At 60.6% G+C, this 27,513-nt stretch overlaps 4 protein-coding genes, 1 long non-coding RNA gene and 3 other non-coding genes across 42 annotated transcripts in view, besides 10 other annotated features; 6 read left to right on the forward strand and 2 right to left on the reverse strand.

The window, feature by feature from the left end:
- Window positions 1-643: part of an enhancer, noted in NCBI's record as "H3K27ac-H3K4me1 hESC enhancer chr11:67794214-67795079 (GRCh37/hg19 assembly coordinates)", that runs on past the window's edge. NCBI's record gives its function as "activates a minimal SCP1, AML or CMV promoter by ChIP-STARR-seq in naive H9 embryonic stem cells {active_cell/tissue: H9 hESC(naive)}" and the evidence as "EXISTENCE:reporter gene assay evidence [ECO:0000049][PMID:30033119]".
- ALDH3B1 (aldehyde dehydrogenase 3 family member B1) overlaps window positions 1-2,308 on the forward strand; it is a 20,730-nt gene extending 18,422 nt beyond the window's left edge. For all 5 annotated transcript variants that reach the window (NM_001161473.3, NM_000694.4, NM_001290059.2 and 2 more), the window contains one exon: window positions 781-2,308. In NM_001161473.3, the coding sequence (NP_001154945.1) occupies window positions 781-971 (191 nt within the window). In that variant the 3' untranslated portion in view covers window positions 972-2,308. The remainder of the gene's footprint in view (window positions 1-780) is intronic.
- The window catches only part of GLTC1 (glycolysis associated regulator of LDHA post-transcriptional modification 1), a 5,633-nt gene extending 2,167 nt beyond the window's left edge, over window positions 1-3,466 (reverse strand). Inside the window, exons 1-2 of the long non-coding RNA NR_197583.1 lie at window positions 3,325-3,466; window positions 2,316-2,452 (exon numbers count right to left, since the gene is read on the reverse strand). This is a non-coding gene — a long non-coding RNA (glycolysis associated regulator of LDHA post-transcriptional modification 1). The remainder of the gene's footprint in view (window positions 1-2,315; window positions 2,453-3,324) is intronic.
- Window positions 1,074-1,368: an enhancer, noted in NCBI's record as "tiled region #3798; K562 Activating DNase unmatched - State 8:EnhW". NCBI's record gives its function as "activates a minimal TATA promoter and a strong SV40 promoter by Sharpr-MPRA in K562 cells {active_cell/tissue: K562}" and the evidence as "EXISTENCE:reporter gene assay evidence [ECO:0000049][PMID:27701403]".
- Window positions 3,454-3,748: an enhancer, noted in NCBI's record as "tiled region #5992; HepG2 Activating DNase unmatched - State 1:Tss, and K562 Activating DNase unmatched - State 1:Tss". NCBI's record gives its function as "activates a minimal TATA promoter and a strong SV40 promoter by Sharpr-MPRA in HepG2 and K562 cells {active_cell/tissue: HepG2 | K562}" and the evidence as "EXISTENCE:reporter gene assay evidence [ECO:0000049][PMID:27701403]".
- Window positions 3,713-9,676, forward strand: NDUFS8 (NADH:ubiquinone oxidoreductase core subunit S8). Its single transcript, NM_002496.4, has 7 exons — window positions 3,713-3,765; window positions 5,184-5,241; window positions 5,318-5,368; window positions 5,955-6,044; window positions 6,143-6,315; window positions 9,285-9,413; window positions 9,494-9,676. The coding sequence occupies exons 2-7, from the start codon at window positions 5,184-5,186 to the stop codon at window positions 9,623-9,625; spliced, it is 633 nt and encodes a 210-aa protein (NP_002487.1). The 5' UTR covers window positions 3,713-3,765; the 3' UTR covers window positions 9,626-9,676.
- Window positions 3,740-3,919: an enhancer, noted in NCBI's record as "active region_5129". NCBI's record gives its function as "activates an Ori minimal core promoter by ATAC-STARR-seq in GM12878 lymphoblastoid cells {active_cell/tissue: GM12878}" and the evidence as "EXISTENCE:reporter gene assay evidence [ECO:0000049][PMID:35858748]".
- Window positions 5,896-5,954, forward strand: MIR7113 (microRNA 7113). Its single transcript, NR_106963.1, has one exon. It is a non-coding gene; the product is annotated as a microRNA 7113 (primary transcript).
- MIR4691 (microRNA 4691) lies at window positions 6,929-7,013 on the forward strand. Its single transcript, NR_039840.1, has one exon. It is a non-coding gene; the product is annotated as a microRNA 4691 (primary transcript).
- Window positions 11,416-12,037: an enhancer, noted in NCBI's record as "H3K27ac-H3K4me1 hESC enhancer chr11:67805851-67806472 (GRCh37/hg19 assembly coordinates)". NCBI's record gives its function as "activates a minimal SCP1, AML or CMV promoter by ChIP-STARR-seq in naive H9 embryonic stem cells {active_cell/tissue: H9 hESC(naive)}" and the evidence as "EXISTENCE:reporter gene assay evidence [ECO:0000049][PMID:30033119]".
- Window positions 11,416-12,108: a biological region, named in NCBI's record as "H3K27ac-H3K4me1 hESC enhancer GRCh37_chr11:67805851-67806472".
- Window positions 11,929-12,108: a silencer, noted in NCBI's record as "silent region_3655". NCBI's record gives its function as "represses an Ori minimal core promoter by ATAC-STARR-seq in GM12878 lymphoblastoid cells {active_cell/tissue: GM12878}" and the evidence as "EXISTENCE:reporter gene assay evidence [ECO:0000049][PMID:35858748]".
- TCIRG1 (T cell immune regulator 1, ATPase H+ transporting V0 subunit a3) lies at window positions 12,057-26,794 on the forward strand. Of its 25 annotated transcripts, none has more exons than NM_001440552.1 (21): window positions 12,057-12,151; window positions 12,824-12,994; window positions 14,300-14,420; window positions 14,785-14,863; window positions 15,675-15,895; window positions 15,978-16,063; window positions 16,403-16,529; window positions 16,603-16,685; window positions 16,846-16,939; window positions 17,164-17,376; window positions 17,990-18,134; window positions 20,465-20,604; window positions 20,679-20,836; window positions 20,914-21,004; window positions 21,911-22,029; window positions 22,113-22,326; window positions 22,695-22,820; window positions 22,994-23,098; window positions 23,169-23,286; window positions 23,519-23,696; window positions 23,773-23,927. In NM_001440552.1, exons 3-21 carry the CDS (start codon window positions 14,304-14,306, stop codon window positions 23,849-23,851), a joined length of 2,493 nt encoding a protein of 830 aa, NP_001427481.1. In that variant the 5' UTR covers window positions 12,057-12,151; window positions 12,824-12,994; window positions 14,300-14,303; the 3' UTR covers window positions 23,852-23,927. The 25 variants fall into 25 exon arrangements, with proteins under 25 accessions (NP_001427481.1, NP_001427484.1, NP_001427486.1 ...); NM_001440555.1 differs by having other exon boundaries at window positions 14,300-14,378; NM_001440557.1 differs by lacking the exon at window positions 23,519-23,696.
- Window positions 12,169-12,248: a silencer, noted in NCBI's record as "silent region_3656". NCBI's record gives its function as "represses an Ori minimal core promoter by ATAC-STARR-seq in GM12878 lymphoblastoid cells {active_cell/tissue: GM12878}" and the evidence as "EXISTENCE:reporter gene assay evidence [ECO:0000049][PMID:35858748]".
- Window positions 13,929-14,058: a silencer, noted in NCBI's record as "silent region_3657". NCBI's record gives its function as "represses an Ori minimal core promoter by ATAC-STARR-seq in GM12878 lymphoblastoid cells {active_cell/tissue: GM12878}" and the evidence as "EXISTENCE:reporter gene assay evidence [ECO:0000049][PMID:35858748]".
- MIR6753 (microRNA 6753) lies at window positions 17,826-17,989 on the forward strand. Its single transcript, NR_106811.1, has one exon. It is a non-coding gene; the product is annotated as a microRNA 6753 (primary transcript).
- Window positions 22,961-23,953: an enhancer, noted in NCBI's record as "H3K4me1 hESC enhancer chr11:67817396-67818388 (GRCh37/hg19 assembly coordinates)". NCBI's record gives its function as "activates a minimal SCP1, AML or CMV promoter by ChIP-STARR-seq in primed H9 embryonic stem cells {active_cell/tissue: H9 hESC(primed)}" and the evidence as "EXISTENCE:reporter gene assay evidence [ECO:0000049][PMID:30033119]".
- CHKA (choline kinase alpha) overlaps window positions 25,891-27,513 on the reverse strand; it is a 68,530-nt gene continuing 66,907 nt past the window's right edge. For all 7 annotated transcript variants that reach the window (NR_164782.1, NM_001376222.1, NM_001376221.1 and 4 more), the window contains one exon: window positions 25,891-27,079. Coding sequence is in view for 6 of the 7 variants with exons in the window: in NM_001376222.1 (NP_001363151.1) it covers window positions 27,020-27,079 (60 nt within the window). In the remaining variant the exon portion in view is untranslated. The remainder of the gene's footprint in view (window positions 27,080-27,513) is intronic.

Consider the following 27,513-nt stretch of genomic DNA (forward strand, 5'->3'; position numbering starts at 1 on the left):
GGAGAGTCGGGGCTGTCTGTGGGCACATCTGACCCTGCTGCTCCCTCAAGAAAGCCTCCCCCAGCTCCCAGGCCCCCGAGCTGACCCTTCTTGGTGGCCGTGGCCCCACCCCGGCTTCCCCACCTGCTGCTCCCACAGCCTGAGCTCTGCCCAGGTCCCTAACACACCGCATGGCACCCACCTCTAAGGCTCCCCAAGCCTGGGTCCCTCTTGCCCCCACCCACTCTCTTCGTCTTATTAACTGCATATCCTTGGAGCTCACTCACTGCAGGAAGCCCCCCAGCCAACCCCACTCCACCCAGGCTGTGCTCTGAACGCCCTGGCCTGGGGCCTCGTCTGCCTCCCAACCTAGACGCTGAGGAGAGTTCACTGCACATAGCACCTACTGGGTCCAGGGGTCTCAACATCCCCTCAATCCCCACCACAACCTTAGGAGGGAGGTACCCTTGTCACCCCACGACAGAGGAGACTGAGGCACAGTCCAAGGTGACATGGATTGTTTGCAGCAGGGCCAGAGTTTAACCCCCGGCAGTCTGACTCTGGAATCCATGCCCTTGACCACCACCCGCCTATCTTGCCCTGGCATCTGGCATCCCCAGGGCTTACTGAGCTGGTGCCAAGCTCGGGGCCAAGCCCTTTACACACAGTGCCTCATGATCAGCCCACTGGACAGATGGGGAAACTGAGGCTCAGAGGGGAGAAGTAGCCCGCCTAGGCCCCACTGTCTGTGACTAGGAGACCCCCAGCGCCTGACCACCTGTGTTCTGTGCCACTGTACAGGTGCCAGTGGGATGGGCCGGTACCATGGCAAGTTCTCCTTCGACACCTTCTCCCACCATCGCGCCTGCCTCCTGCGCAGCCCGGGGATGGAGAAGCTCAACGCCCTCCGCTACCCGCCGCAATCGCCGCGCCGCCTGAGGATGCTGCTGGTGGCCATGGAGGCCCAAGGCTGCAGCTGCACACTGCTCTGAGCCCTTCCCCAGGCCCAGGCTGTAGACCACCATGACAGCTGTCGCCTGCGGCTGGTGGAGACGGGGCCTGGGCTCCCGGGCCCGAGGAGGAAAAGGATTGCCAAGGCTCCAGGGCACCCCTCAAAGCAGCGCCTGCCTCCTCCCTCCTGGGTCTTCCCTCTCCCTGCCTCAGCCTCCTCCCTCAGCCGCTCCCAACCATGAGAGCCGAGGTGGGAGGCATGGGAAACAGTGCAGTGACTCACCCCCTGCCCCCGCACCAACCACCCATATTCAGGAGAAGAGGACAGACACGGCACCTCTGAGTCACCCCTCTCCTGTGGAGCGGGCGTCCGAGGGGCCCTGGCATCTGACTCAGGCCACACCATGGAATCACTGCATCCAAGGCCATTCCTGCCCTCTCTGAGTCTCAGTTTTTCCATTTGTTCAGTGGAGAGAATTAACCATTGATACCTCCTGGCTGGGTGAGGCGGCTCACACCTGTAATCCCAGCACTTTGGGAGGCCGAGGCAGGCGGATCACCTGAAATCAGGAGTTCAAGATCAGCCTGGCTAACATGGCGAAACCCCGTCTCTACTAAAAATACAAAAATTAGCCTGGCGTGGTGGCGCATGCCTGTAATCCCAGCTACTCAGGAGGCTAAGGCAGGAGAATCGCTTGAACCCGGGAGGTGGAGGTTGCCGTGAGCTGAGATTGCGTCACTGAACTCCGGCCTGGGTGACAGAAGGAGGCTCTGCCTTAAAAAAAAAAAAAAAAAAAACCTCCTGGGACTGTTGCAAGGATGAAATGAAGGATTGAGGGATTGAGGGATTGCTGAGCTGGAGCTCCAGGTGTCCTATCTTTCTCAGTGGGGTGGCACGGAGCGGGGCCGCCTCCCTCTTCTCTCCAGGCAGGTGGGGCTGTGGTTATGCGATAGGGTCTCCCTTCCCTCCAGCCCATGCCAGAGGAGCTTGTAACTCTTTATCCTCATGGTGCCCACTACGAGTCATACTCTTCCCCATGCTGCTCATCCTCCTGGGCCCCATCCACTCAGCCAAAGCAGAATGCAGGGTTTCCTGCCTGACAACCCTTCTCACCTCCCAAGTCCCACTTTTGAACAAGCTGATGATTCTGAAACTGGCCCAATTTCCTAACAAGCCGGATGCTTGAGAAACCTACATTTGGACAATGAGAGGCTGCTCCTGCGGCCTGCGGGCCACCTCCTCTTCCTTGGCTCCTGCTTTCTTTTTAGACTATATCAACCTACAACTTTAGTCGGGAAGAGGGACAGGGGTGGACCTGAGTTTCGTCTCCTGTCTCTCTGGCTGATGTCACCTGAATAAAGCCTTCTTCCCTGGCAATACTTACATCTCAGTGATTTGCTTTCTGTGCATCTAGCAACAGGACTCTGGACCAAGGCCCTGGCGTTGGGTAACAATTCTGTAATGCTGCAGGACTTCCCCAATCCACGCAGGAATCCCCGCAGGCATCCACGCAGGAATCACCTGATGAAGGGCCAGGGTCAGGTGTGGGCCACCATCCCAAGACCTCCCTTCTCTCTAGGGCCAGCCCCTCTCCTCTGAGCACCTGCTGACCAGCCCAAAGCCCTCTCCACTCCTCAGCTTGAACTCCCCCAGGGTCTCCCTGTGGCCCACAGGTCCTTTGGAGGCTCGGGCATCTGCATGCAAATCCCAAACCACTGTCCCCTTTGCACACACTGAGCCTGCCCTTGTCCTCGTCCTGGTCTACCATGCGTGTCCTCCCTCTGCACGGGCATGGGACATGCCCTCTGCCTCCTTCCTGTCCTGGCCTGCCCAACTCCTACCTACCCTCAGCGCAGATCCTCCCAACACACACATGCAGGCAGCCTCGGGGCCTCTGCGGGTCCCTCTACCACAGCATTCCCGGGGAAAGGCCCGGCGTGGTGGCTCACGCCTGTAATCCCAGCACTTTGGCAGGCCGAGGCAGGAGGATCGCCTGAGTCCAGGAGTTCCAGACCAGCCTGGGCAACATGGCGAGACCCCGTCTCTACAAAAAATACAAAAATTAGCCGAGCCTGGTGGTGGCAGGCGACTGTGGTTCCAGCTGCTCGGGAGGCTGAGAAGTGAGGATCACCCGAGCCTGGGAGGTCGAGGCTGCAGTGAGCCGAGATCGCACCACTGCATTCCAGCCTGAGCCACAGAGCCAGATTGTCTCAAAAAAAGAAAAAAAAAAAAAAAAAAAAAAAAATTCGCTGGTAGGAAACATAGGCTGGTTGAGTACGGGAGTCATACAGATCAGGTGGATCAGGCGGCCGCACACCGCAGCTCTACGGCCCGGGAACGTTACTAAATACTCCCATGCCTCAGCTTCCCGCCTTAACGTGGTAACACGTTACTGTAGTTTCTCCACGCAGAGCTGCTGTGAGGATTAAAAGAGGCCGCGTGAGTTGAGCATCTCGTCGCCATTACCGTCATCACACGCCCCCCACCCAACCCGGCGGGCCCACCCTCTGCACCCACGGCGAAAGCACTCTTTCTAAACCACGCCCCGGATGTCCCGCCTCCAGCGGCTCGGAGGTCTTCACTTATTGGCCTCCCCAAACCAACATGGCGGCCCCCTACAAACTTCAAGCGCCGGTCTCTCCTAGCCAATCAAAAGAAAGATATTTCTGAATCCCGCCTCTTTCAGCAGCCTTGCTGGCCAATCAGACCACACCATGAAGCATCAATACAGAAAAGGGGGAACCCGCTGGCCCAATGGCAGCGTCCTACAGTGTAGCCTCCGCCTCCCGATTGACTGGCCTGCTTGGCAAGGCAAGTAGCGGCGGCGCTTCAAGGTGGGTGTTCACGTTTTGGCCGTGAAAGTCGGGCTTGGGCAGCGTGGCGTCGGGGGCGAGTGTGGTGTCCCCGTTGGCGCCGCCAGCTCTGCGCCTGGGCTTCCCCTCGGCTCACTCAGGATCCGCGGCCTCCGTGTCCTTCAGGTGCAGCGGGGAGCCGGCTCTCAGGGCGCATGCGCCGCCCGCTCTGCGCCACCGGCCTAGTTAGGGTCGGAGATCACTGGGAAGGTGGGGAAGGTGCTGGGTTGGGTCCCTGGAACTGCAGTCAGTGATCCAAAGGAGTGGGCCTGTTAGGGGGTTCACAGGTCGTGGGATGAGCTCTTATGAGCGCCGGCTAAGTGCCGGGCTCTGGGGTGCCCTTGGCATGTACGGGCTCCCCTAATTCCCAAGACCAACCGCCCCCAACCCACTTCATAGGTGAGAAGACGGAGGTCAGGTCACATCATCTGCCCAAGGTCACGCGGCAGGCTGGGGGACAGTTCCAGGAGGGCCTTGAAGCTGGGGAAAGGAATGTGGTACCGAGGACTGTTCAGGCCTTGAAGAGTTTCCAGCAGGGCAGGGCTGGGTTCCGATCCTCGGCCCACCTCCTTATCGTGTGACTTCCGACAAGTCACTTTTTTATCTTTTTTTTGAGACAAGGTCTCACTCTGTCGCCCAGGTTGGAGGGCAGTGGTGCAGTCTGGGCTCACTGCAACTTCTGCCTCCTGGGTTCAAGCGATTCTCCTACCTCAACCTCCCGAGTAGCTGGGATTATAAGTGCCCACCACCACACCTGGCTAATTTCTGTATTTTTTGGTAGGGACGGGGTTCCACCATGTTAGCCAGGCTGGTCTCAAACTCCTGACCTCAGGTGATCCACCTGCCTCAGCCTCCCAAAGTGCTGGGATTACAGGCGTGAGCCACCACACCCAGCCCTAGCGAGTCACTCAACAAACTGAGTCCCAGCGCCTTATTTGTGCCTCCCTCGTGGAGTCCTTGTAAGGATAGGATGGCAGCGCTTTCCACCCCTGGGCACGGTTCCTGGGGGAGGAGAGCTAACAAAGTTCGCTCTCAGTGCATGCTGGCGGGGGCTGGTAATGTTGTTTTTGGTTAGATTTGGGGAGGATGAAGGGAGGAGCAGAAAGGTGGGAAACAGGATCTCTGGGAGGGAGAAAGGAAGGATGGATTTAAAAGGTTTCTTAGGTGAGGCAGAACTTGGGGTCCACAGAAACTGAATTGTAGCTCAGCCAAGCTGAATCAGATGGAAAGCTGGGAGGCGCTGGGAACAGGAAAGCCATCTGTGCCTCTGACAGCAATGGGGTGCGAGTAGAGGGCAAAGTGACACATGTCAGTGGAGACTTGGGATCCTTGCGGTGCCAGTCTCAGAAGAGGATGGTTCTTGGGCACACCCCACCCTCCATCCCTTTTTATGCCACCAGATGCGCTGCCTGACCACGCCTATGCTGCTGCGGGCCCTGGCCCAGGCTGCACGTGCAGGTAGGACCAAAGAAGCCTTTGCTGGGGGTAGGGGAGTCCAGTCTCCTGGTATGACGTCACGCCCTTCTTTTTGCAGGACCTCCTGGTGGCCGGAGCCTCCACAGCAGTGCAGTGGCAGCCACCTACAGTGAGTACCTGGGTGGCCTCTAGCCTCAGGTGTTCCTGACTGGTCCTGCTGGAGTAGGGGAAGAGACCTGAGTTCCAGTCCTGGCTTTGTCAGGGGCGTTCTTCTCTGAGCCTGTTTCCACTTTTAAAATGATTATGGTGATGGAGACTGACTCTGATTCACAGGGGCAGGGTCCATCATTGCCGAGGTTAGCATGTGTGATCTCAGAGCTCCCTGGGTGTGATGGGGAGGGGGTTGCCAGGTGTGAGCCATGGGTACCTGTGCCTATTGCCAGTCCCTGGTGAAGGCAAAGGCTCAAGCCCCCCACCTACCCCCCTTGATTCCTCTTTCAAGCCCTGTTGGGCAGGGAAGTGCGTCTGGGCTCCAATGGCCACCCAAGCACAGGGAGAGGTAGGCACGGACGGGCTCAGGCCAGAGGCGGCCTCCAGGGTCCTTGCTGAGGCTGGGGAGAGGTGTGGTGAGTGTACAGCCCCTTTGTAGCCCAGCAGTTGCACCTGGAAGTGAGGGCCAGGCTGCTCTCCCTGAGGCTCCAGGGAGACAGTGTGTGAGGCCTCTTGCCATGGCCTCCCTGCCCGCCTCTCTGCAGAGTATGTGAACATGCAGGATCCCGAGATGGACATGAAGTCAGTGACTGACCGGGCAGCCCGCACCCTGCTGTGGACTGAGCTCTTCCGAGGTGCGTCCTGGGCATGAGGGGACAGGGAAGGTGCCGGGTGGGCACGGATGCATGGGGGAGGAGGGTGCCCCTGCCCACCACACCCGTGCTGCCCACAGGCCTGGGCATGACCCTGAGCTACCTGTTCCGGGAACCGGCCACCATCAACTACCCGTTCGAGAAGGGCCCGCTGAGCCCTCGCTTCCGTGGGGAGCATGCGCTGCGCCGGTACCCATCCGGGGAGGAGCGTTGCATTGCCTGCAAGCTCTGCGAGGCCATCTGCCCCGCCCAGGTGAGCCCCTGCCCCAACCGGCCACCACGCCAGCCCCTGCCACTGGGAGAGGGAGGCCAGGCAGCCCTAGGCCCAAACCCTAGCCCCTGCTTGATGTGCGTCCCCAGGAAGTCCCTTTCCCCCTCTGAGCCACTTCCCTCGTGAATGGGAATGATGAGGGCTTGTTACCAGAGCACAGAGTCAGTGAGTTGGCAGAGTGAAGCTTCCAGCCCTGGGCAGGCGCCTGACACACAGAGGTTCCCCCTTGGGGTCTGGCCAAGGGTGTGACCCCTGGGCCTCTGAGCCATGGGGTGACACCTGAGGCCATCCACGCCTCCCTGGATGTAGCCACCGTTTCCGGAGTCCTGCTTGTGTGCCTGTTGCAGCTTCCCTTCCCCAGTGGCTGCTCCCCTGAGGCCCGGCTTTCCGTTCTCTTAGTGGGTCTCGTGCTTACCCGTGGGGGCCAGGCCTGCCAGCACGGGAACAATATGACTCGGTCAGAGCTCTGGTCAGACCCCTGTGTGTGCCTGGCAGGAGCCCCGGCAGCCGCCGCCGCTACTTTCTGTGTGCACAGCAACCCCTCCCAGTGTTCTGTGACTCGGGTGGCTCCTGTCCAGATCCTAGTTTGTCCTCTGGAGCACTCCCAGGTCCTCCAGGCCATGAGCTGCGGCCCTGATGTCTCTACTCCAGCCACGGACTGAGAGTGCATAGGAGTGTCCCCAAACAGCAGTCACGATGGTCACAACCTTGGCTTCCAGACAGTGAGTGCTGTCCACAGACAGACCCGGTGCTGTGCCATGTGTGTGACTCACAGCCTCTCCTGTAATCTCCACAACCCCTCGAGGAGGTCGAGGTTATTGTCTCCATCTTTATAAGCACTAAAGGATGAGCCTGCCAGCCACAGGTCCCACTGTGAGTTGTGGACACTACATTTCTGGGATGGGGGCATATGAGAGTCCTTGCCAAGCACATTTGAAGGTTTTCCCAGCCAGCCCCTCCCCCAGCGGGCTACCCAGGAACTGAGAGTTAGGACGTGCCCTTGAGTTTGGGCTGTGCCCCCACTTGCTGTGTAGCTTTGGGGAGCCCCTCAACCTCTCGGAACCTTGTTTTTCTCATCCATCAAATGGAGAGAAGTAGATTTAAGGCACAGGATTGCACCCAACAGTGTAGGCATTCTTGGCGATGTTGCAGGTTCGGCTCCAGACCATCGGGGTAAACTGAGTCACACAGCTGTTTTGGTTTTCCAGTGCATTTAAAAGTTAGATTTAGACCGGGCACAGTGGCTCATGCCTGTAATTCCAGCACTTTGAGAAGCCGAGGTGGGCGGATCACTTGAGGTCAAGAGTTCGAGACCAGCCTGGCCAACATAGTGAAACCCCGTCTCTACTAAAAATAACAAAACTTAGCCGGGCACGTTGGCAGGTCCCTGTAATCTCAGCTACTTGCTAGGCTGAGGCACGATAATCACTTGAACCGGGAGGTGGGGGTTGCAGTGAGCCAAAATTGAAAAAAAAAAAAAAAATTAGGGCCGGTTGCGGTGGCTCACGCCTGTAATCCCAGCACTTTGGGAGGCCAAGGTGGGCGGATCACAAGGTCAGGAATTCAAGACCAGCCTGGCCAACATGTTGAAACCCCGTCTCTAGTAAAAATACAAAAATTAGCCGGGTGTGGGGTTGCACACCTGTAGTCCCAGCTACTCAAGAGGCTGAGGCAGGAGAATTGCTTGAACCTGGGAGGCGGAGGTTGCAGTGAACTATGATTGCACCACCATACTCCATCCTGGGCCACAGAGCAAGACTTCGTCTCAAAAAAAAAAAAAGGATTTACACTGTACTGTAGGCTGCGAAGTGTCTAAAACACAATGTATATACCTTAATTAAAAATACTTTAGGGGCCAGGCACAGTGGCTCACACCTGTAGTCCAAGTGCTTTGGGAGGTCAAGGTGAGGGGATTACTTGAGCCCAGGAGTTTGAGACCAGCCTGGGCAACATGGCAAAACCCCGACTCTACAACAACAACAAAAAATACAAAAAATTAGCCCCTGTAGGCCCAGTTACTTGGGAGGTTGAGGTGGGAGGATCGCTTGAGCCTGGGAGGTTGAGGCTGCAGTGAGCTATGAGCTGCACCACTGTACTCCAGCCTGGGTGACAGGGCAAGACTCTGTCTCAAAAAACAAAAACAACAACAAAAACTTTATTCCTAAAAAGTGCTGACCCAGAGATAAGAAGCAAGCACATGGTTGGTAAAATGACATCAGTGAGCTTGCTTTATGCAGGGTTGCCCCAAACCTTCAATTTGTAAAACTCAAAATATCTGGAAAGCTTGGTGAGGCGAGGCGGGACTGTAACTCAGCACTCACCGCAGGGTGAGACCCTTAGGGCAGCGGGTGCTACACTGAACAAAGCGGTGAACAGCCCCCTCGTGAGAGGGGGTTCTTGGCAGATGACGCCAGCAGCTGACAAACAGGCAAGGCAGGCCGGGCACGGTGGCTCACGCTTGTAATCCCAGCACTTTGGGAGTCCAAGGTAAGCGGATCACAAGGTCAAGAGATCGAGACCATCCTGGTCTACATGGTGAAACCCCATCTCTACTAAAAAATACAAAAATTAGCTGGGCGTGGTGATGCACACTTGTAGTCCCAGCTACTCAGGGGGCTGAGGCAGGAGAATCACTTGAACCGGGAAGGCCGAGGTTGCAGTGAGCCGAGATTGTGCTGCTGCACTCCAGCCTGGCGACAGAGCGAGACTCTATCTCAAAAAAAAAAAAAAAAAAAAAAAAACCAGCAAGGCAGGGACGCCAGCAGGGCACGTGCTGAGGAGACAGGCGCGAGCACCAGAGGTGCAGGGCGGCCTCTTAGCCGGAGTCCAGGAGGCCTTTGAGGGGAGAGGGCTTCTGGCAGACCCCAGGGGTGGGGATGAGCAGTGACAGGGGCCCTGGGGGCTGGGATGTGACAGGGCAGCGTGGCAGTGTCTGGTGGCCCCTCCCGCAGGCCATCACCATCGAGGCTGAGCCAAGAGCTGATGGCAGCCGCCGGACCACCCGCTATGACATCGACATGACCAAGTGCATCTACTGCGGCTTCTGCCAGGAGGCCTGTCCCGTGGATGCCATCGTCGAGGCACGTGAGGCCCCCGGGTGGGAGGGGGCCTGAGGCTCCTCAGCAGGGCCTAACCACCGTCCCTGCACCTCAACCTGCAGGGCCCCAACTTTGAGTTCTCCACGGAGACCCATGAGGAGCTGCTGTACAACAAGGAGAAGTTGCTCAACAACGGGGACAAGTGGGAGGCCGAGATCGCCGCCAACATCCAGGCTGACTACTTGTATCGGTGACGCCCCACCGGCCCGCAGCCCCTGCTGCCCAATAAAACCACTCCGACCCCACGGCCTCTTGTCTTGACTCTGGTGGTCCAGGGTGGGGCCGTTCCCGGCCTGCCTGAGGCCTGTGGTGCCTCCAACTGGACTAGGTCGCCACCTAGTCTTTATGCTCTCTGGAGTCCTGCTGCCCCAGCCCTGCCTTCCTGTAGACTCCAGGGCCCCACCAGGCTCTCATGGCTAGACCACAGGCCGCAGCATCCCTGTCACCCTGCCTCTTCCTGGGCGTCTTCCCCAAGGCCCAGCGATGCCAGAGGTCACCACAGACCTGCCGTTCCCACTCTCCCGGGTGTCCTGGCTGGGGCCTGGGCCTCCTGTCTCCCAAGAGCCATCCACTTGTAAGACGCTTAGGACTTGGAGCCTCCCAAGACCTCAGGCTGAAGAACAGCAAGTGGCAGAAACTCAGGCCGGGGCATCCTTGCTGGGGGTAGGAGGAAGCCTGCTTGGGGTGACAGTCACACGAGGGTGACACAGGCCCTGCTGGCCCTGAGCTGGCCTGCGTCCAGCCACATCCTCTTTCCTGTGTTCCCTACGCCAGGGTGCTGGCCCGGCCACTGCTCACCACTTCCTGCTTTGCTGGCCCAGCGACACGGTGGGGTTTCCCTAGGGCCACACACAAGCCCCTTGCCCATATAATGGCCAAAAGCAGCCCCCCTGAACTTGTGCTAAGTACTGTGGAAGGATTTCACTTCATTTGCAGTGAGGAAACCAGCTCCGAGAGGTGAAAGGGCTTGCTCAGGGCCATGCAGGGCACATCCCATAATAAAACTCAGTTCAGAGACCTTGACCCCCCCCATCTACCATCATTTCCAAAAGTGCTTTTTACAAAGCACTACTTTGTAAAAAGCTACTTCTTCGAAAGAACAAGTTTCCTGGCCCAGTGAGTGTTGGAAATGCTCCAGCTGCTGTGTGCCTGCTGGCAGGTACTGCATGGTAGACATTCAAGGCTCTGAGAAGGCCTGCAGCAAAAACACCAGCCTCTCCCAGCCCATTCCCAGGGAGCTTTTCTCAGGTCTAACACCTGGGCCTCCTTCCTAGACCAGGCATTGCCATCTAATGCCAAAGTGGCCAGGCTCCCGCTTGGGCCCCACAGCCTGTGGCACTGGGGTGAGAAGTAACTGCAGGAGGCGAGGGGAAGCCTGGAGCCCGGGAAGTGTCCACAGGTCTGGCCCGCAGCTCATCTTGGCCACTGATGAAAACAGGTGTTCTTTCCAAAAACAAGGCAGGCGCAGGACTCCTGAAGCACCGCCGGTTTAGCTTTTCCCAGACGTAACCGCCGTCAGAGCGTGGCATGGAGCCTGTAGCTGTGCACTGAATACTTCTATTCCAAGCGGGTCAGTCTTTCCAGCTCACCGCTGGGTTCTTTCCCTTACCGTGGTCTCCCAGGCACTTACTGCTGAGACCCCACTCAGGCTGTCTGGTTGTATCAGGCCCCGACCCTGTCAGAACAGGCCTATGGCGCCCAACCACAAGTCCCCCAATTTTCTGAGGAACCACAGCTGAGCTTGGCTGTGACTCAGTTTCCAGGCCCGGCTCTGGGGCTCCACTTGTCCACCCCTGCCGCAGCCCCACAGGCCTGTGCTCGCTGTGTGGGGCTTAGGGATCACCAGAGCTGAAGGGCCCCTGGCCTCCAGTGGGAATGCCCCAGGCCTGTCCAAAGTGCAGGCAGCTGGACGGTCGTGAGTCCCAGCTTCCAGGCACTAGGACCTGATGACGCCCATGGTGCTGACCTGGAGCAAGGTCACAGTGACACCCCCCTCTACCCCCCGCGGCTGCAGCTGCAGGTGGAGCTGACAGCTGGCCTCTGGCCCCAGGGTATCTCCCAGGGCCTGCTGGGTGCGGGGCGCTGGGCAGAACAAGGCAGCATGGCCTGGCCCTGTGTCCTGCTGCCAGTGAAGCAGGCCCAGAGTGGGGCAGCCACCCACCCAAGGGCCAGAGCGGGGCCTCTCCAGGGTGGTCAAGAGCAGGAAGGTGTAAGCACCGGCGGGTTTCACTGCCGCCCAAGGGAGGGGTCCCGGAGGTGGGGGAGCATCCTGGGGACCCCAAGCCCATGAGCCTGCGAATGTTGGGGTCCCATCAGCCAGAGGCGCACAAGCCTCGAAGTGAGAGGAGAGCAGGGTCTCATCTCCTATCCTGAGCTGGGCCTGAGCGGAGCTGCCCCTGCATCGGGGCCAGCATAGACGCGCGCGGTTGGCAGTGGTCTGTTATCCGCTCCTTTCTCCAGGCCTCCTCTCCGGGATTAAGCGCCTCAGGACCCGTCCGCCAGGCCACAGCCTGGGCTCAACCTCTCCCAGACTTCCTGGACTCCAGTGGAGCCTTGGGCCGGGGGCGGGGCGTCCCTGGCCCCTCCCCGTCGTCCCGCCTGCCCGGAAAGGAGTGAGCGGCGCCTAGTCCCGGGCTGGCGGGAGTGCAGTTCTGAGTCCCGCCCGGCGTGCGCGGAGCGGGGCAGCCAGCAGCGGAGGCGCGGCGCGCAGCACACCCGGGGTGAGTGCCCCTGCCGGGGTCTGCGGAGCCCCAGAATTTCCTGCCCACCCTCTTCCCCCTGCCCCGGGGAGGAGATCCTGGCGCCCCACCCAGTTGGCTCCGTGAATGCAGCTCAGCCCGCCACCCCGCAGGGTGTCAGGCCTTGCGGGGGGCCACGGAGGATCCCCAAGGGAGGAGGAGAAGGATGGGGTGTTTACCAACACAGCCCAGCGTTCCCGGGCCTGGTGTGCGCGGAGCTTTCCCCGCTGCTGCTTCCTTGGAGGGAGGGACCCATTCTACAGATGGGGAAGCTGAGACCACACAACTAGGAAGTGTCAGAGCTGGAGACCAGCTGGGTCATTTGACTCCAGAGCCCACCCCATTTGGAATGGAGGGGGCGCCAGACCCTCTCCTACTGCCTTCCCATCATCTGGAGGGGAGGGCAGAGGTGCAGAGAGACCTGCTGGGTTCCTGGAGGGGCCAGGAAAGGGGCACAGGGTGAGGAGTGGGCTGGAGCCTGGACCCCAGGGCCGCAGGATGGAGGCGTATTCATTTACACCATAAAAGTGGCTGGGTGACCCTGGCTAGAGCGGGGACCAAGGGGGACAGGGGTAGGGGGTGAGCCAGTGGAGCCTCACATGCCAGGCACGGGGGCTGATCACGTCCCCACACCTTTCCCCCCGCCCATTACAGGTTGTTCCCCCACCCCCTGGGAAGTGCTGGAAGGAGCCCGGCCCTCGAGCCCTCGGCATAGTGGCTGTGGGAGCCCTGATGGCCCTGAGCCAGGGGTGACCCCTCCCCAGATCCCCAGAGCTGATTCCCCACACCTCCTTATTTGGCCAGCACAGCCCCAAAGGGAGCCAGGTCAGACACAACCCTCCTCTGAGCTCACCCTTTGTGCTGGGCACATAACATTGGACTTTACCTCTCCAAGTGTCAGTGGAGTCCTGTATGAAACAAAAGCACCGTACCCCCTCCCCAAGGGTTTCTCCCCCCAGGGATTAGTGTGAGGTCGTGTGGATGAAGGGATTCAGTTGAGGCTCTGGTTATTTTTGTCACCTCCCTAGATCCTGTCTCTGTCAGGGGTGCCACGTCCCATTCACCCAAAGAGGAAGTAGAGGCACAGAGAGGGTGAGAGACTTGCCCAAGGTCACACACCCAATCTCAGCCTGGGCTCCAAGTCCCTCTGCCCTGTGGCCGGGCCTGGTCCTTAGGGATGGAACCCAGCCCCGCTGCCCCCTGCCCTGCCCACCTGCAGCCTTGGGCCATCTGCTCAGTGTTCCCTCGTTCCCTCCTTCTCTCCTTTCCCAGGCTGGGGCTGGGGCTGCGTTTCCCTGTTTAGAGTTAAGTAAACCAGACCCAGGGGAGGAAGTGACTGGCTGGGCAGGCGGGGCCCTGACCAGGCCTGTCCCCTCCCCCTAATTTTCGAGCTAAGCAACTGATTCCCACAGAGGGGCCCTGGGCCCTGAGAGCAGTGGCTTTGGAGCTGGAGGGGCCCCAGCATCCAGGGCGGGTTGGAGGTGGCCTGGCACCTGCCCCCACCCCACATCGGCCTTGAGCAAGGCCCCGGGCCCTTCCCCGCCATTCTGTAGTTTCACTTTTGTTGGTTTCAACACCTGGAAGGCTGCGGCTGCTGCCGGGCGGCCCGGGCCTCAGGGGACAGCCCCCCCACAGCAGTGCTCCCTGGCTAGCCCCAGGGTACCCGGTGGAGATGCCCGCTCCTACCACTCAGCACATGCAGCTCCACAGGGAGCAGCGAGGGCTCCAGCCACCCCCGGGGCAGCCCTGGGCCTAAGTGCCTGGGCCAGTGGGGTCCTGTCTAGGGTGACGGCAGCCCGAGAGGAGGGAGGCCAGAGTGAAGGTGGGGGTGGAGCCGGTGTCACTGGGAGACGCTGGAGGTAGGGGCGGGGGTCCCCATGGGCAGAGCAAGCCAGGAGAGAGCTTGAGGTCGGCCTGAGGGTGGGCTTCGGGGTCTCCCAGTCCCACTGCTTACTTTCTGCGTGACCTCAGCACCGCATCAAGCCTGCCCAGGCCTCAGTTTCCACCTCTGTCAGATGGGGGTGGTAACAGCAGCTTCCAGGATTCAGTGAGTGAAGGTGCACAGGTGCCCGTGGTTGGGAACTGTCTGTGGTCTGCCCCTGACTGGCCCCCATCCGTGTCCACCCACAGGACCATGGGCTCCATGTTCCGGAGCGAGGAGGTGGCCCTGGTCCAGCTCTTTCTGCCCACAGCGGCTGCCTACACCTGCGTGAGTCGGCTGGGCGAGCTGGGCCTCGTGGAGTTCAGAGACGTGAGTTGGGTGGGCAGGCGTGGGAAGGGGGCTACTGCCAAGGTTAGCCCGGAGGCCGGTCCAGGATGGGGACTGCCCCCCCTCCGCCATAGGGCCCTGGCCCCATTTGAACCCCAGCGGCCCCTGCCATGGGCACTGCTCATGGGAAGCCCGCAGCTGAGGCCCCTGAGCTGGCTCCTCCCCATACCCTCCTGGGGCATGGGGTCTGGTCTGTGCTCTGATCTGCGTCTTGTGGCTCCCAGGGCACTCCACACCTTTCTGGAGGAGGCAGCTAAGGCCTGGGGAGAGTCAGGCCTGGGCTCTAGGGTGAGGAGCTCCCTGACCCCCTTCCCGGGACACTCACCCCTCCGTGTGGCACCCACAGCTCAACGCCTCGGTGAGCGCCTTCCAGAGACGCTTTGTGGTTGATGTTCGGCGCTGTGAGGAGCTGGAGAAGACCTTCAGTGAGTTGGTCCCAGGCCTACATTCCAGGCAGGCTTCCTGGAGGAGGCATGGGCCAAGTTTGATCTGAAAGGAAGAGTCTGGGTTTGCCAGGTGGAAGGCAGAGAAGGGAGGTATATGCAGGGCCCTGCAGGGCCAAGACAGAGCAGCTGGGATCTGTGAAGTGTGCTTGCGAAGGTGGCTGCCTTGTGTGGGCTGAGCAGAGGGCCTAGGGCAGGGCTGGCTGGGGAGGCCTCGAATACAGCATAAGAGCCCAGGACTTCGTCCTGTGGGCGCCAGGAAGCCACAGGGGTTTCTAAGCAGGGAAGAGGCACAGACAGCTTTCTCCTCTACAGCTGGGCTGGGGTGGGTGGGGCCCAGGATCTAGGGTAGGGTACCCCTAAGGAGCAGGCAAAAGGGACCCCTGCCCTGGGCAACCCCTCTCAGGAGGAGCCTGTGGGGGCACCAAGGCAGGGGCATGGGGCAGGCAGGGTTTTGTGTTTGCTGGTGCAGTTTACAGCTTTTCAATGATCAGGCAGACACAGGACTCACGCCAGCTCCGGTCCCAAGCCCTGCAGCGCAAGGGCCGGCCTGTGGGGAGACCTCAGGCCCTCTTCTGAGTGGTGGCCAAGGGACTGGGGAGGGAGAGTGAGCCCAGACCTGAGCTCAGGGAGGGGAGCACAGCTTCTGGATGAAAGTTTGGCCGGGATTTTCTGGCCACCTCCACCTGGTGAATCCAGCAGCTGGTGGCCGATGGAGTTTGGGGCAGCAGGTGGGGCCCTCAACTGTTGAGACAACCTCAACTGCACCCCACTCCCGTTCCTCTGCGCCCAGCCTTCCTGCAGGAGGAGGTGCGGCGGGCTGGGCTGGTCCTGCCCCCGCCAAAGGGGAGGCTGCCGGCACCCCCACCCCGGGACCTGCTGCGCATCCAGGAGGAGACGGAGCGCCTGGCCCAGGAGCTGCGGGATGTGCGGGGCAACCAGCAGGCCCTGCGGGCCCAGCTGCACCAGCTGCAGCTCCACGCCGCCGTGCTACGCCAGGGCCATGAACCTCAGGTCAGCTCCCACCCAGGCAGGAGACTGGGGGGCTGGGGAGGGGCTGTCCAGCCTAGGGCTCATGGTGCTTCTGGGTTCCTAGCTGGCAGCCGCCCACACAGATGGGGCCTCAGAGAGGACGCCCCTGCTCCAGGCCCCCGGGGGGCCGCACCAGGACCTGAGGGTCAAGTGAGTGAGGGATGACCTCATGCCCTTTCTGGCCAGCCCAGAACCCCTGGCCAGTCGCTGGGCTGGGCCAGGCTGAGCTCCGACTCCTTGTCCAGTGCTCTCCCCAGGCTGGCCCCGCCTCCTCCTTCAGGCCCGGAACTTCCCACAGTCCCAAGCCCTAGCCCTAGGGGGTTCTCCTCTTCTGGTCCTGCCCGGGAGGCCTCCTGCCTTCCCCTGTGGGCAGGGCCAGTGTGCCCAATTGCCCGATTGCCCGTGCTGGGCAGGGTCCTGCCCGGGGGGCCTGGTGGGGGAGGCAGGGCAGGAGGTTGGAGCAGCCCTGCCCAGCCCCGTGGCCGCCAGCTTTGTGGCAGGTGCCGTGGAGCCCCACAAGGCCCCTGCCCTAGAGCGCCTGCTCTGGAGGGCCTGCCGCGGCTTCCTCATTGCCAGCTTCAGGGAGCTGGAGCAGCCGCTGGAGCACCCCGTGACGGTGAGCAGCTGGCGCTGGGCTGGGGGGTCCTGGGCAGAGCGGGACCCCAGAGTCAGCTGAGCCTGCTCTGCAGGGCGAGCCAGCCACGTGGATGACCTTCCTCATCTCCTACTGGGGTGAGCAGATCGGACAGAAGATCCGCAAGATCACGGACTGGTGAGTCACTGGGAACACCCGCCCCACCGCCCTGCTCCCCAGGCCCCTGCTGTCACCTCCCAGCCCGCCCTATCGTGACTCCTCCCCATGAGCTCCCTTCAGACTCAGAGTCTCGTAGCTGTGTCCTTCTGGCCCCTCACGCAGCGCATCCTCCCTCCAGCTTCCACTGCCACGTCTTCCCGTTTCTGCAGCAGGAGGAGGCCCGCCTCGGGGCCCTGCAGCAGCTGCAACAGCAGAGCCAGGAGCTGCAGGAGGTGGGTGCCCCCGGCCTTCCGGAGGCGGGTGTAGGAGGTGGGTGCCCCCGGCCTCCCGGAGGTGGGTGCAGGAGGTGGGTGCCCTGGCCTGGCCTCCAGGAGGTGGGTGCAGGAGGTGGGTGCCCTGGCCTGGCCTCCAGGAGGTGGGTGCAGGAGGTGGGTGCCCCCGGCCCAGCCACCCCACCTGCCTGCCCAGCCCCCGCTGACTGCCCACTCTGGCGCAGGTCCTCGGGGAGACAGAGCGGTTCCTGAGCCAGGTGCTAGGCCGGGTGCTGCAGCTGCTGCCGCCAGGGCAGGTGCAGGTCCACAAGATGAAGGCCGTGTACCTGGCCCTGAACCAGTGCAGCGTGAGCACCACGCACAAGTGCCTCATTGCCGAGGCCTGGTGCTCTGTGCGAGACCTGCCCGCCCTGCAGGAGGCCCTGCGGGACAGCTCGGTGAGCAGCCTGAGGCCTCGCCCCCTCTCCGCCCGCCCCTCCTACCAGGCCGGGGCGTTTCTGCCTCACTTCCAGCCTCTGGCTCCCTGCACCTGGGCTTTGCCTAGGGGCTCCTTCTCCTCCCAGCCTCCTCCATGGCCCACCGCTTCCAGGGAGTCTGCCCTGATGGCCCTGGCCCAGCAAGCCCTACCCTGACTTTCCTAAGTCCCTGGAGGCTGCACAGGATAGTTTTAAAGTCAGAAGCCTCATTCCAATCCAGGCCCCCCTGTGACCTTAGGCCTGCTCATGGTCTGTGGAACCGGTGTGATGCCCCTGCCTCCGGGGGTCACCCGCCGCGCACAGCAGGTGCTTGCGGGTGAGGCTGGGCTCCTTCTCCTGGGCCGTCCCTAGGAGGCAGCATGCTTGCCTTTCCCAAGCAATTGCCAATCCATGTGGTGTCTTTGGGCCCCCACCAGGGCAGAGCAGGGCTGATCATCTCACGTCAGAGAGAGGGGAAGGGGCTGCCCAGTGAGCCCCCACAGGGCTCTACATCTCCAGCTGGGCCTGGCTGGAGATCCCAGGGTCCCTGAAGGCCCCCGCCACCGTTCTGGTCTGTCTCTGCCCTGGCACCCAGATGGAGGAGGGAGTGAGTGCCGTGGCTCACCGCATCCCCTGCCGGGACATGCCCCCCACACTCATCCGCACCAACCGCTTCACGGCCAGCTTCCAGGGCATCGTGGATGCCTACGGCGTGGGCCGCTACCAGGAGGTCAACCCCGGTGAGAGCCACGGCATCCTTACCCGTGTCCTGGGAGGCTCAGCTGCCCCACTGGGTGGGTGTGAGCCTGAGGGGGAGGTATCTCCATCCTGGGCCTGGCCTGCCCTCCTGGGATGAGGGGCACACATCCCATCACTCTCAAGGGGCTGTTGGGCTCTGCAGCCAGTGTGAGGCTTTATGTCGGCCCCCAGCCAACTCCCCCTTGTTGAGTTTACAAGGGAGCCGGCACGGGCTTGTGCAAAGAACAGAGGCTGTGCGGTGGGCATGGCCCAGGTTGGAAGCCCATCTCGCCTACTTTGAGACATTTCTTAGCTTCTCTGAGCCTCAGCTGCCTCACCTGCAAAATGGAAATAATAGCGCAAACCTCAGAGGAATGTTGGGAAGCTTAGTGACTGTTGGAGACTGCAAGCTGGAGCCAGGGGCAGCCTTTGGTGTGGTTGCTTTGGTTGCACAGCTTTTTTTTTTTTTTTGAGATAGAGTCTTGCTCAGTTGCCCAGGCTGGAGTGCAATGGCATGATCTCGGCTCACTGAAACCTCCGCCTCCCAGGTTCAAGCGATTCTCCTGCCTCAGCCTCCCAAGTAGCTGGGATTACAGGCACGCACCACCACGCCTGGCTAATTTCATATTTTTAGTAGAGATGGGGTTTCACCATGTTGGTCAGGCTGGTCTTGAACCCCCGACCTCACGTGATCCACCCACACAGGCCGTTGGGGGCCCAAGCACCCTGACTCTTGCCCACTGGATGAGGCAGGGCCCCTCCCTGTCCTGTGACCAAGTCCCCTCCCGACATGGGCTCCACCACATCACACCCATGCTATGGGCCGGGCCCCCACTCAGTGTCACTGGGGGCACTGGGGGGTTTGCTGCTTCTGCAGGGCCAGTGTCCTGGGGCTGGATCTGGGCCCCAACAGGATTCCCCTGCACGTGGGCAGAGGCTGGTGCAGCTAGAGCATCACCTGGAGGCCCGTGGCAGATAGAATGCTGCCAGCTCAAAGCACCAGCCGTCGGGGCAGCGTGTTTGCCAGGGAAGCTGTAACAAAGTGCCACCGGCTACTGGCTTAAGGGGCAGACACGGTCCCACAGTCCTGGAGGCTGGAAGTCCAAGACCAAGGTGTCAGCAGGGGCCGGGGGCACTGGCTGATGCCTGTGATCTCAGCACTTTGGGAGGCTGTGGTGGGAGGAGGATCTCTGGAGTCCAGGAGTTCGAGACCAGCCTGGGCAACATAGCAAGCCCTTGTATCTTAAAAAAATAAAAGATGATGAGGTGTTGTCAGCAGGAGTGGCTCCTTCTGAGGCTGTCCAGGAAGATCTGTTCCCGGCCTCTCTCCTGGGCTTGGAGCGGCCGTCCTCATCTTCACACACTGTTCTCCTTCTATGTGGGTCCAAATGTTCCTTTTCATAAGGACATCGGGCACACTGGATTGGGGCCCACTGTAATGGCCTTATCTTAACCCAGTGACCTCTGTAAGGACCCTGTCTCCAAAGAAGGTCACATCTGGAGTTCCTGGGGGTTGCGACTCCAGTGTATCTTTTTTGGGGTCACAACACAGCCCCTGACAGTGTGTATGTTGGGGTCCTCCTGCCTCCCATGAGGACTTGTTCCCATTTTACTGATGGGAAGTCGAGACTTCAGAGCTGAAGTGACCAGCTCGGCCTCCCGGAACTTGCCATGTGCCAGCTGGGGCTGCCTGTGGCTCCCTGTCCTCTCTGGCTTCTGTGTGGAGCTCTGGGAACAGCAACAGCTGAAGCTGCTAACTTCCTGTGGCTCCAGCAGCTGGCCCGTGCTGCCCGTGGAGAACTTATGAAGTGGTCTGGTGTTACCTGCATTTTACAGATGGGGAAATGGAGGCTCAGAGAGGTGAAGTGGCTGGGCCAAGGTCACACAGCTCCTAAGTGGTGGGTTCTTTTTTTTTTTTTTTTTTTCGGAGACAGAATCTTCGCTCTGTCGCGCAGGCTGGAGTGCAGTGGCGCGAGCTCGGCTCACTGCAACCTCCGCCTCCCGGGTTCAAATGATTCTCCTGCCTCAGCCTCCTGAGTAGCTGGGATTACAGGCACCTGCCACCATGCCCAGCTAATTTTTCTGTTTTTAGTACAGGCAGGGTTTCACCGTGTGGGCCAGGCTGGTCTCGAACTCCTGACCTCGGGTGATGCCCCCCCCCCCCCCCGTCTCGGCCTCCCAGAGTGCTGGGATTACAGGCATGAGCCACTGTGCCTGGCTGCTAAGTGATGGGTTCTTGACTGCAGGCCAGCAGGGCCTCCGTGGCGTCTTGGGCCGGGAGGCAGATGCTGGTGTGTTCGGGGGTTCCCAGCTCACCCACCTCTGCCCACAGCTCCCTACACCATCATCACCTTCCCCTTCCTGTTTGCTGTGATGTTCGGGGATGTGGGCCACGGGCTGCTCATGTTCCTGTTCGCCCTGGCCATGGTCCTTGCGGAGAACCGACCGGCTGTGAAGGCCGCGCAGAACGAGGTGAGGGGCGGGGCTGGGGTCCTGATGAGGGTAGCAGGGCCAGGCAGCCCCTCACCACACCACTGCCCCCCCAGATCTGGCAGACTTTCTTCAGGGGCCGCTACCTGCTCCTGCTTATGGGCCTGTTCTCCATCTACACCGGCTTCATCTACAACGAGTGCTTCAGTCGCGCCACCAGCATCTTCCCCTCGGGCTGGAGTGTGGCCGCCATGGCCAACCAGTCTGGCTGGAGGTGAGGCCCGGGCCCCAGCCCGGCTGGGGGCCCCGCAGCACCCGCAGCCCTGACCGCCCTCCCCTGCGTTGCCGCAGTGATGCATTCCTGGCCCAGCACACGATGCTTACCCTGGATCCCAACGTCACCGGTGTCTTCCTGGGACCCTACCCCTTTGGCATCGATCCTGTGAGTCCTGGGATGGAGTGTCCGTGGGTGGTGAAGGCAGCTGGGAGTGGGGGCTGGGGCTCCCCTCGGTTCAGCCGTCCTGCAGCGCTGTCGCTGAGCACTCCTGTGTGCCAGGCCCTTTCCTCAGCACAAGAGGCAGACAAGCCTCCTGCCCTGCGGAGCCTGCATCACAGTCCCCTGAGTGTGCGGAGGCAAAGCGAGACCAGCCAGGAACCAGTCTCCTGAGTGTGCAGAGGCAAAGCGAGACTGGACAGGAACCAGCCTGCAGCTTGCACTGTGCCAAGCACTGTTCCCAACCCTCTGTGGAAGTGATTTTCTTTTTTCTTTTTTTTATTTTTGGATATAGAGTCTCATTCTGTTGCCCAGGCTGGAGTGCAGTGGTGTGATCTTGGCTCACTGCAACCTCCATCTCCCGGGTTCAAGCGATTCCCCTGCTTCAGCCTCCTGAGTAGCTGGGATTACAGGCGCCCGCCACCATGCCTGGCTAATTTCTGTATTTTTAGTAGAGACAGGGTTTCACCATGTTGGCTAGGCTGGTCTCGAACTCCTGACCTCATGTGATCCACCTGCTTCAGCCTCTCGAAGTGCTGGGATTACAGGCGTGAGTCACCGCGCCCAGCCTGATTTTCTATTTGAACCTCGTAACAACCCCGTGGGCCTCACATTAGTAGTGTCCTCACCTAAAGAAGAGACTGAGGCACAGAGGTCATGCCCAAGGTCACCCAGGCTGGCACCGTGGCAGCTGGCCCATCTGCGCTCTGTTGCCCCTCGGTGGGTGGGTGATGGATGAGGCTGCAGGCTCCGAGGGGGAAAACAGGGTGGTGAGAGAGTGACTCGGGCCGGGGACTTCCTGGCAGTGATGGCGAGGGAGCCCCTGAGTCCAGCCCACCCCTGCTGCCACCCTAGATTTGGAGCCTGGCTGCCAACCACTTGAGCTTCCTCAACTCCTTCAAGATGAAGATGTCCGTCATCCTGGGCGTCGTGCACATGGCCTTTGGGGTGGTCCTCGGAGTCTTCAACCACGTGTGAGGGCCAAGGCTGCCCGGGGGACGGGAGGCTGGCAGGCCAGAGTGGGCCCCAGTGAGCACACCTCCCTCTTGCCCGCCAGGCACTTTGGCCAGAGGCACCGGCTGCTGCTGGAGACGCTGCCGGAGCTCACCTTCCTGCTGGGACTCTTCGGTTACCTCGTGTTCCTAGTCATCTACAAGTGGCTGTGTGTCTGGGCTGCCAGGGCCGCCTCGGCCCCCAGCATCCTCATCCACTTCATCAACATGTTCCTCTTCTCCCACAGCCCCAGCAACAGGCTGCTCTACCCCCGGCAGGTGGGCTGCGGCTGGTGGGGGCCGGGCTCACACGGCCTCATGGGGACCCCGCGGTCACAGGGCCACTGGGAGCTGCAAGATCCTCGTCCGAGAAACGGGGATGCAGGCCCCGGGCCGTGCAGACAGGGCCGTCAGAGGTGATGGTGTGCATCTTTAGCAGGTGGCACAACTGGCACTGGGAACCGGGGGTCCCTTCCCTCAGGAGTCCTTATGGAGGCAGACCCTCACCCAGTGAGGGCACGGAGCCCCCGGGGGCCCTGGAGGGAGGAGCGACCGCAGGCTCTCTGGGCCCCGTGACTGCTGTGACTCAGGTTCCTTTGCAGGTGTGCACAGCAGGGACGCCCTGACTCTCGCCCTCTCCCTGGCAGGAGGTGGTCCAGGCCACGCTGGTGGTCCTGGCCTTGGCCATGGTGCCCATCCTGCTGCTTGGCACACCCCTGCACCTGCTGCACCGCCACCGCCGCCGCCTGCGGAGGAGGCCCGCTGACCGACAGGTGGGACCGGGGCCTAAGGTGTGGGGGGCTGCTTGCGGGGAGAGGCCACTGTCCGGTGTGTCCCTGACTCCTCGCTTCCTGACAGACTCCTGAGTGGCCAGGAGCAGGCCTGGCGGGTGGTGGGGGACCTCCTGGGGCTGGAGTGCTGCCAACACTGCCTGCTCATGCCCCAGGAGGAAAACAAGGCCGGGTTGCTGGACCTGCCTGACGCATCTGTGAATGGCTGGAGCTCCGATGAGGAAAAGGCAGGGGGCCTGGATGATGAAGAGGAGGCCGAGGTGGGTGCAGTGCCTTCCTGGGGGTGGGACGGCTGAGGCCCTGCCGGCCCTCACTGCACCCGCCCCGCAGCTCGTCCCCTCCGAGGTGCTCATGCACCAGGCCATCCACACCATCGAGTTCTGCCTGGGCTGCGTCTCCAACACCGCCTCCTACCTGCGCCTGTGGGCCCTGAGCCTGGCCCACGCCCGTGAGTGACCTGGCCACCGACGGCTGGCCCCAGCTCCTGGCTTCTCACATACCGCTGCTGGCTGGGCGGGTTGCTTCTCTCTGGGCCTCAGTTTCCCCTCTGTAAAGTGGGACTGTCCAAGGAGGTCCCTCGCTGGCCCCCCGTGCAGGGAGGGCTTCAGGCTGCGGCAGGTAGGTAGGGGGCTGGCAGGCACCCACTTGCCGTTGGCCCCCACTGTCTCCTTTGCTTGCAGAGCTGTCCGAGGTTCTGTGGGCCATGGTGATGCGCATAGGCCTGGGCCTGGGCCGGGAGGTGGGCGTGGCGGCTGTGGTGCTGGTCCCCATCTTTGCCGCCTTTGCCGTGATGACCGTGGCTATCCTGCTGGTGATGGAGGGACTCTCAGCCTTCCTGCACGCCCTGCGGCTGCACTGGTGAGCGACCACCCACTGGCCTGGGCTGCTCAAGGCGTGAGTTCCCCTCACCAACCCCTCTGCTTCTCACCCCCAGGGTGGAATTCCAGAACAAGTTCTACTCAGGCACGGGCTACAAGCTGAGTCCCTTCACCTTCGCTGCCACAGATGACTAGGGCCCACTGCAGGTCCTGCCAGACCTCCTTCCTGACCTCTGAGGCAGGAGAGGAATAAAGACGGTCCGCCCTGGCAGTGATGTCTCGTCTCTCTTCCCTCCTTTTTAGCTGAGGCAGGTGGCAGGGTAGAAGGCATGGTGTAGGATCTGGGACCTCAAAAGTCAAGGCCTGGACCTGAGCAGATCTGCAATAATGTCAGACTCTTGGGGTGAAAAGGGGCAGAAAAGGGCCAAGGAGAGATGTTTCCAGCACATTCTAACTTGGAGTGAGCAAATGTCTTCCCAGGCCGGGTCAGGGGAGTGAGCTCCCCATCCTTGGAGGTGTGCACCTGGCTGTGAGCGGGTGTCTGGGTTACTCTCTGTTGGGAGTGGTGCCAATATCCATGCCCTGGTGCCGGGCCTCAGGGGTCTGGAAGTACAGAGCAGTGTGGGGCACCTGAGCCCCGGCCAGTGCTCCATGCAGGGCCATGGTGTCACACGCCCAAGGCCACACACCTGCCAGGAAGGGTAGAGGCTGTCCCCAGCAGCAGACATTACCCAGGACCCCGGGGTTCAGAACAGGGGCTGAGCCTGACTCCAGGCCCAGCCTCCCCTCACCTGAGACTACAGTCTTCCTGATCCCTCCCAGGTGGTCCTTCCTGCGTTGCTGGCAGAATGGGGGTGGCTTTCTGCAGTTCCCTCTGGCCTGGGTCCCACCCCCACTGGGAGGCAGAGGAAGTGCTTCCCAGAAGCCAACAAGCTGCAAAGTGGTTCTTCCCACAGCTGTGGCTGAGGCCAGCTGCTGGGAGGAGCCTGTCCATTGGCTCCTGGACTGCTTTGCTCAGGACCTCTGGATGCCAGGGGTCGTATCAGGGGCTCTAAGGTAATTCCACATGCCCAGCAGATTCAGCTTAGAGAAACGGTGCTCACAGTGCTGGGGTAGGAGCAGAGAAGGCTAAATGAAGGACTCCGGAGAGCTGCAGGTGGATCTGGACCAAATCCAGAACCCAACGCCTTACTCCCTCCTGGGGAGAGAGCTGGGCAGAGACTTGGGGCGGGCAGTGAGGTGGGGATAGGTGAGCAGCACTCGTGGTGAGTGGCCCCAGTGTGATTTAGGAGGGGTGCAGTGTGGGATCCCAGGGACATGACCAGTCAGCCCCGCCCTGGCTTTGACATGGGGGTGCCTGGCAGTGGTGGCTAGAGAAGTCCAGTTTGCCAAGAGAATGGCACATAAGGCACTGGGGTGGGCACCTCTGGGGCATGGACATAGGGAGACATAGGGATGGGGTGGGTCACCTGCGTGGAGGACTGGGCACTGAACAGCACAGGCCCGAGCCCATCCTTGTCCACGTGAGCTTATGGCCTGATGTAGAGACCACCAGGGGCTCCAGGAAAGTTAAGCTGCATGGAGAGAAACGATGGGCCAGGGCCGGGCCCAGGGTGGTTTAGGGAATGGCAGTGTCCTGGGTAGAATAGGAAGGCCTGAGACTGTGACTGAGCTGACAGTGGGGCAAAGTGAAGGAGCCCAGTATTGGAAGATCGGCTCCACATGTATCTCTGCGAGGAGACTGCAAGCGAGCTCGTGTGGACCAGGCAGAGGCGAGGGCTGAGTGAGGCCAGCAGTGGCCTGGGCACAGGAAGACGGTGAGTGAGAAGCCACTGGAGCTCCTGTGCAGGAGCGCAACACCTTTACTGCTTCATTCAGTTTGGCTTCACCTGCTTAAAACTGTAACTCTCTAGAAGGCTGAACAGCAAAAGCCTCCCTCCTGCCCAGCCGCTCAGCATCCCCAGGCACCAGCACTGCTCCCAGTCTCCAACGTCCTCCAGGGCTCTTCGCTTCTGGGCTAGAAGCAGGGAAACCAGAGTGTGCTGGGGAAGAAGAGGAGGAGGTGGAGGAGGGCTGATGATGGGGCCACATGCTGCTGGGATGCCAGCTGAGAGCAGCGGAGCACTGCTAAGCTAAGGGGCTGAGTGGGTGCAGATGGAGCCCTCCGTGGGCTCCTTCAGGTACCAGGAGCCCTGCCTGAGATTCAGGACACATCCAAGGGTGACAGCTTGAGGTTGGGTTTTTATTTTTTTATTTGTATAGTACAATCTCTGTGGTAGCAGAAATATATGCACAAAAAACAATTCAAATAAGAGTTCAGAGTAAAAAAAAGTCAGCTAAGACTGTATCCCGCAGGACATTTCATATATATGGATTTCACAGCTACACTCGATCCACGCCCCACACCACATACAGGCTGCTGTCTCCCACAAGAATGATGATGTCAGGGGCATCAGGAAAGGTAAGGGCCGGGAAACCGGGCCCTTGGAGAACCCTGCCCAGGGGAGGCCCAGCCTACTCACAGGATCCGACACTCCAGGCAGAGCAGAGGGCAGGAGAGGCCCAAAGAGCTAGGTCAAGCAGCTGGCTCCCCTGGGAGGGGAGCCGGGAGACAGGGAGGTCCTCACACTGCCCCCGTGGCCACGCATGGCTGTCTGCACACTCCATCAGGAGGAAGGGCAGGGGAGAAGTCACATGCAGTACAGTGAAACTCATCAGTGTCACACACGCCCAGCAGGAGGGGAGAGCTCTGCTCCACACGCTGGCGGCCTTGGCTGCTCCAGAGCAATCCGCTGCTCCAGCTTCAGCCATGGGACCAAGAGGGTAAAGGAGCAGCTTCTGGAGGCCCCAGGCAGAGGCCACCTTGCAGCAGTGACTGGCGACTTTGCAGTACATCTCTGCTCACTTGCTGTCCCTTGGGAGTGAGCACCGTCTATAACACATCGCCATCTACAAAAGCCTGGTCACAGTGTTCACCAGCACATTCATGAAAATTTAAATCAACATTAACCAAAGTACCTGCAAGTAACACTGCTTACTCTTGCTGTTTGCCTCATCTGACTGGAAACCTTAGCCCCCAAATATGAAATGCCTTCTCTAGATTAAAAGGATTCAGAGATGTTGCACTATTGCACTATATTTCTGCTTCCCGATCTCGTTTCTGAGTCCTAGTGAAATCGTAAACAAGAGATGAAATAAACGTCGCTCCATTTTAATACCGTCTTTAGTATCATACACATGTGTTCAGTAGTGAGCCACCCAAAGCCTCCTGCCACAGGAGCAGTAGTCGAAGCACAGAGGGGACCCCGCTCTGCTGCCTCCCCATGCAGTCCAGTGATGAGGTGGATGGAGTCCTCCCCACAGTCACACCCCAAGCTTCCTCTTCTGGTGGAAATAGGCATCAAACCTTGCTTGGGCGTAGTCCTAGGAGACAGCAAAGAGAAGGCCTCAGCAAGGAATCCTGCTGGCCTGAACCCTGCCCATGTGTCCCCCAATCCCCACCCCAGGCAAGAGCTGAGGGCACGGACCCATGAGACCAAAAGCACAGGACTGGCCTGTGCAGCAGGGCTGCTCGGGGGCCTCGCTGCTCTACAGGTGCAGGCTCCTCAAGCTCCCAGCCCACCCCACACACCTTCATTCTCAGGAGGCCTGGTTTATAGGCATGGGCCAGCCCAGCCCTGCCTCTCAGGATGAACGTCTCATCCACATGCTTAGCACTGCTACCATTCATCACCTTGCTAACCCTGGGTGCTGTGGGCACTGACTGACCGACATAACACACCTTTTAGAGCAAAAGACCCCTGGGACACAGGCGAGTCTAGAACAGAAGGGGAGAAGAGGATGCCCATCGCCTATTT

This window comes from Homo sapiens, chromosome 11 (assembly GCF_000001405.40).
Source record: "Homo sapiens chromosome 11, GRCh38.p14 Primary Assembly".
Lineage (NCBI taxonomy): Eukaryota > Metazoa > Chordata > Mammalia > Primates > Hominidae > Homo > Homo sapiens.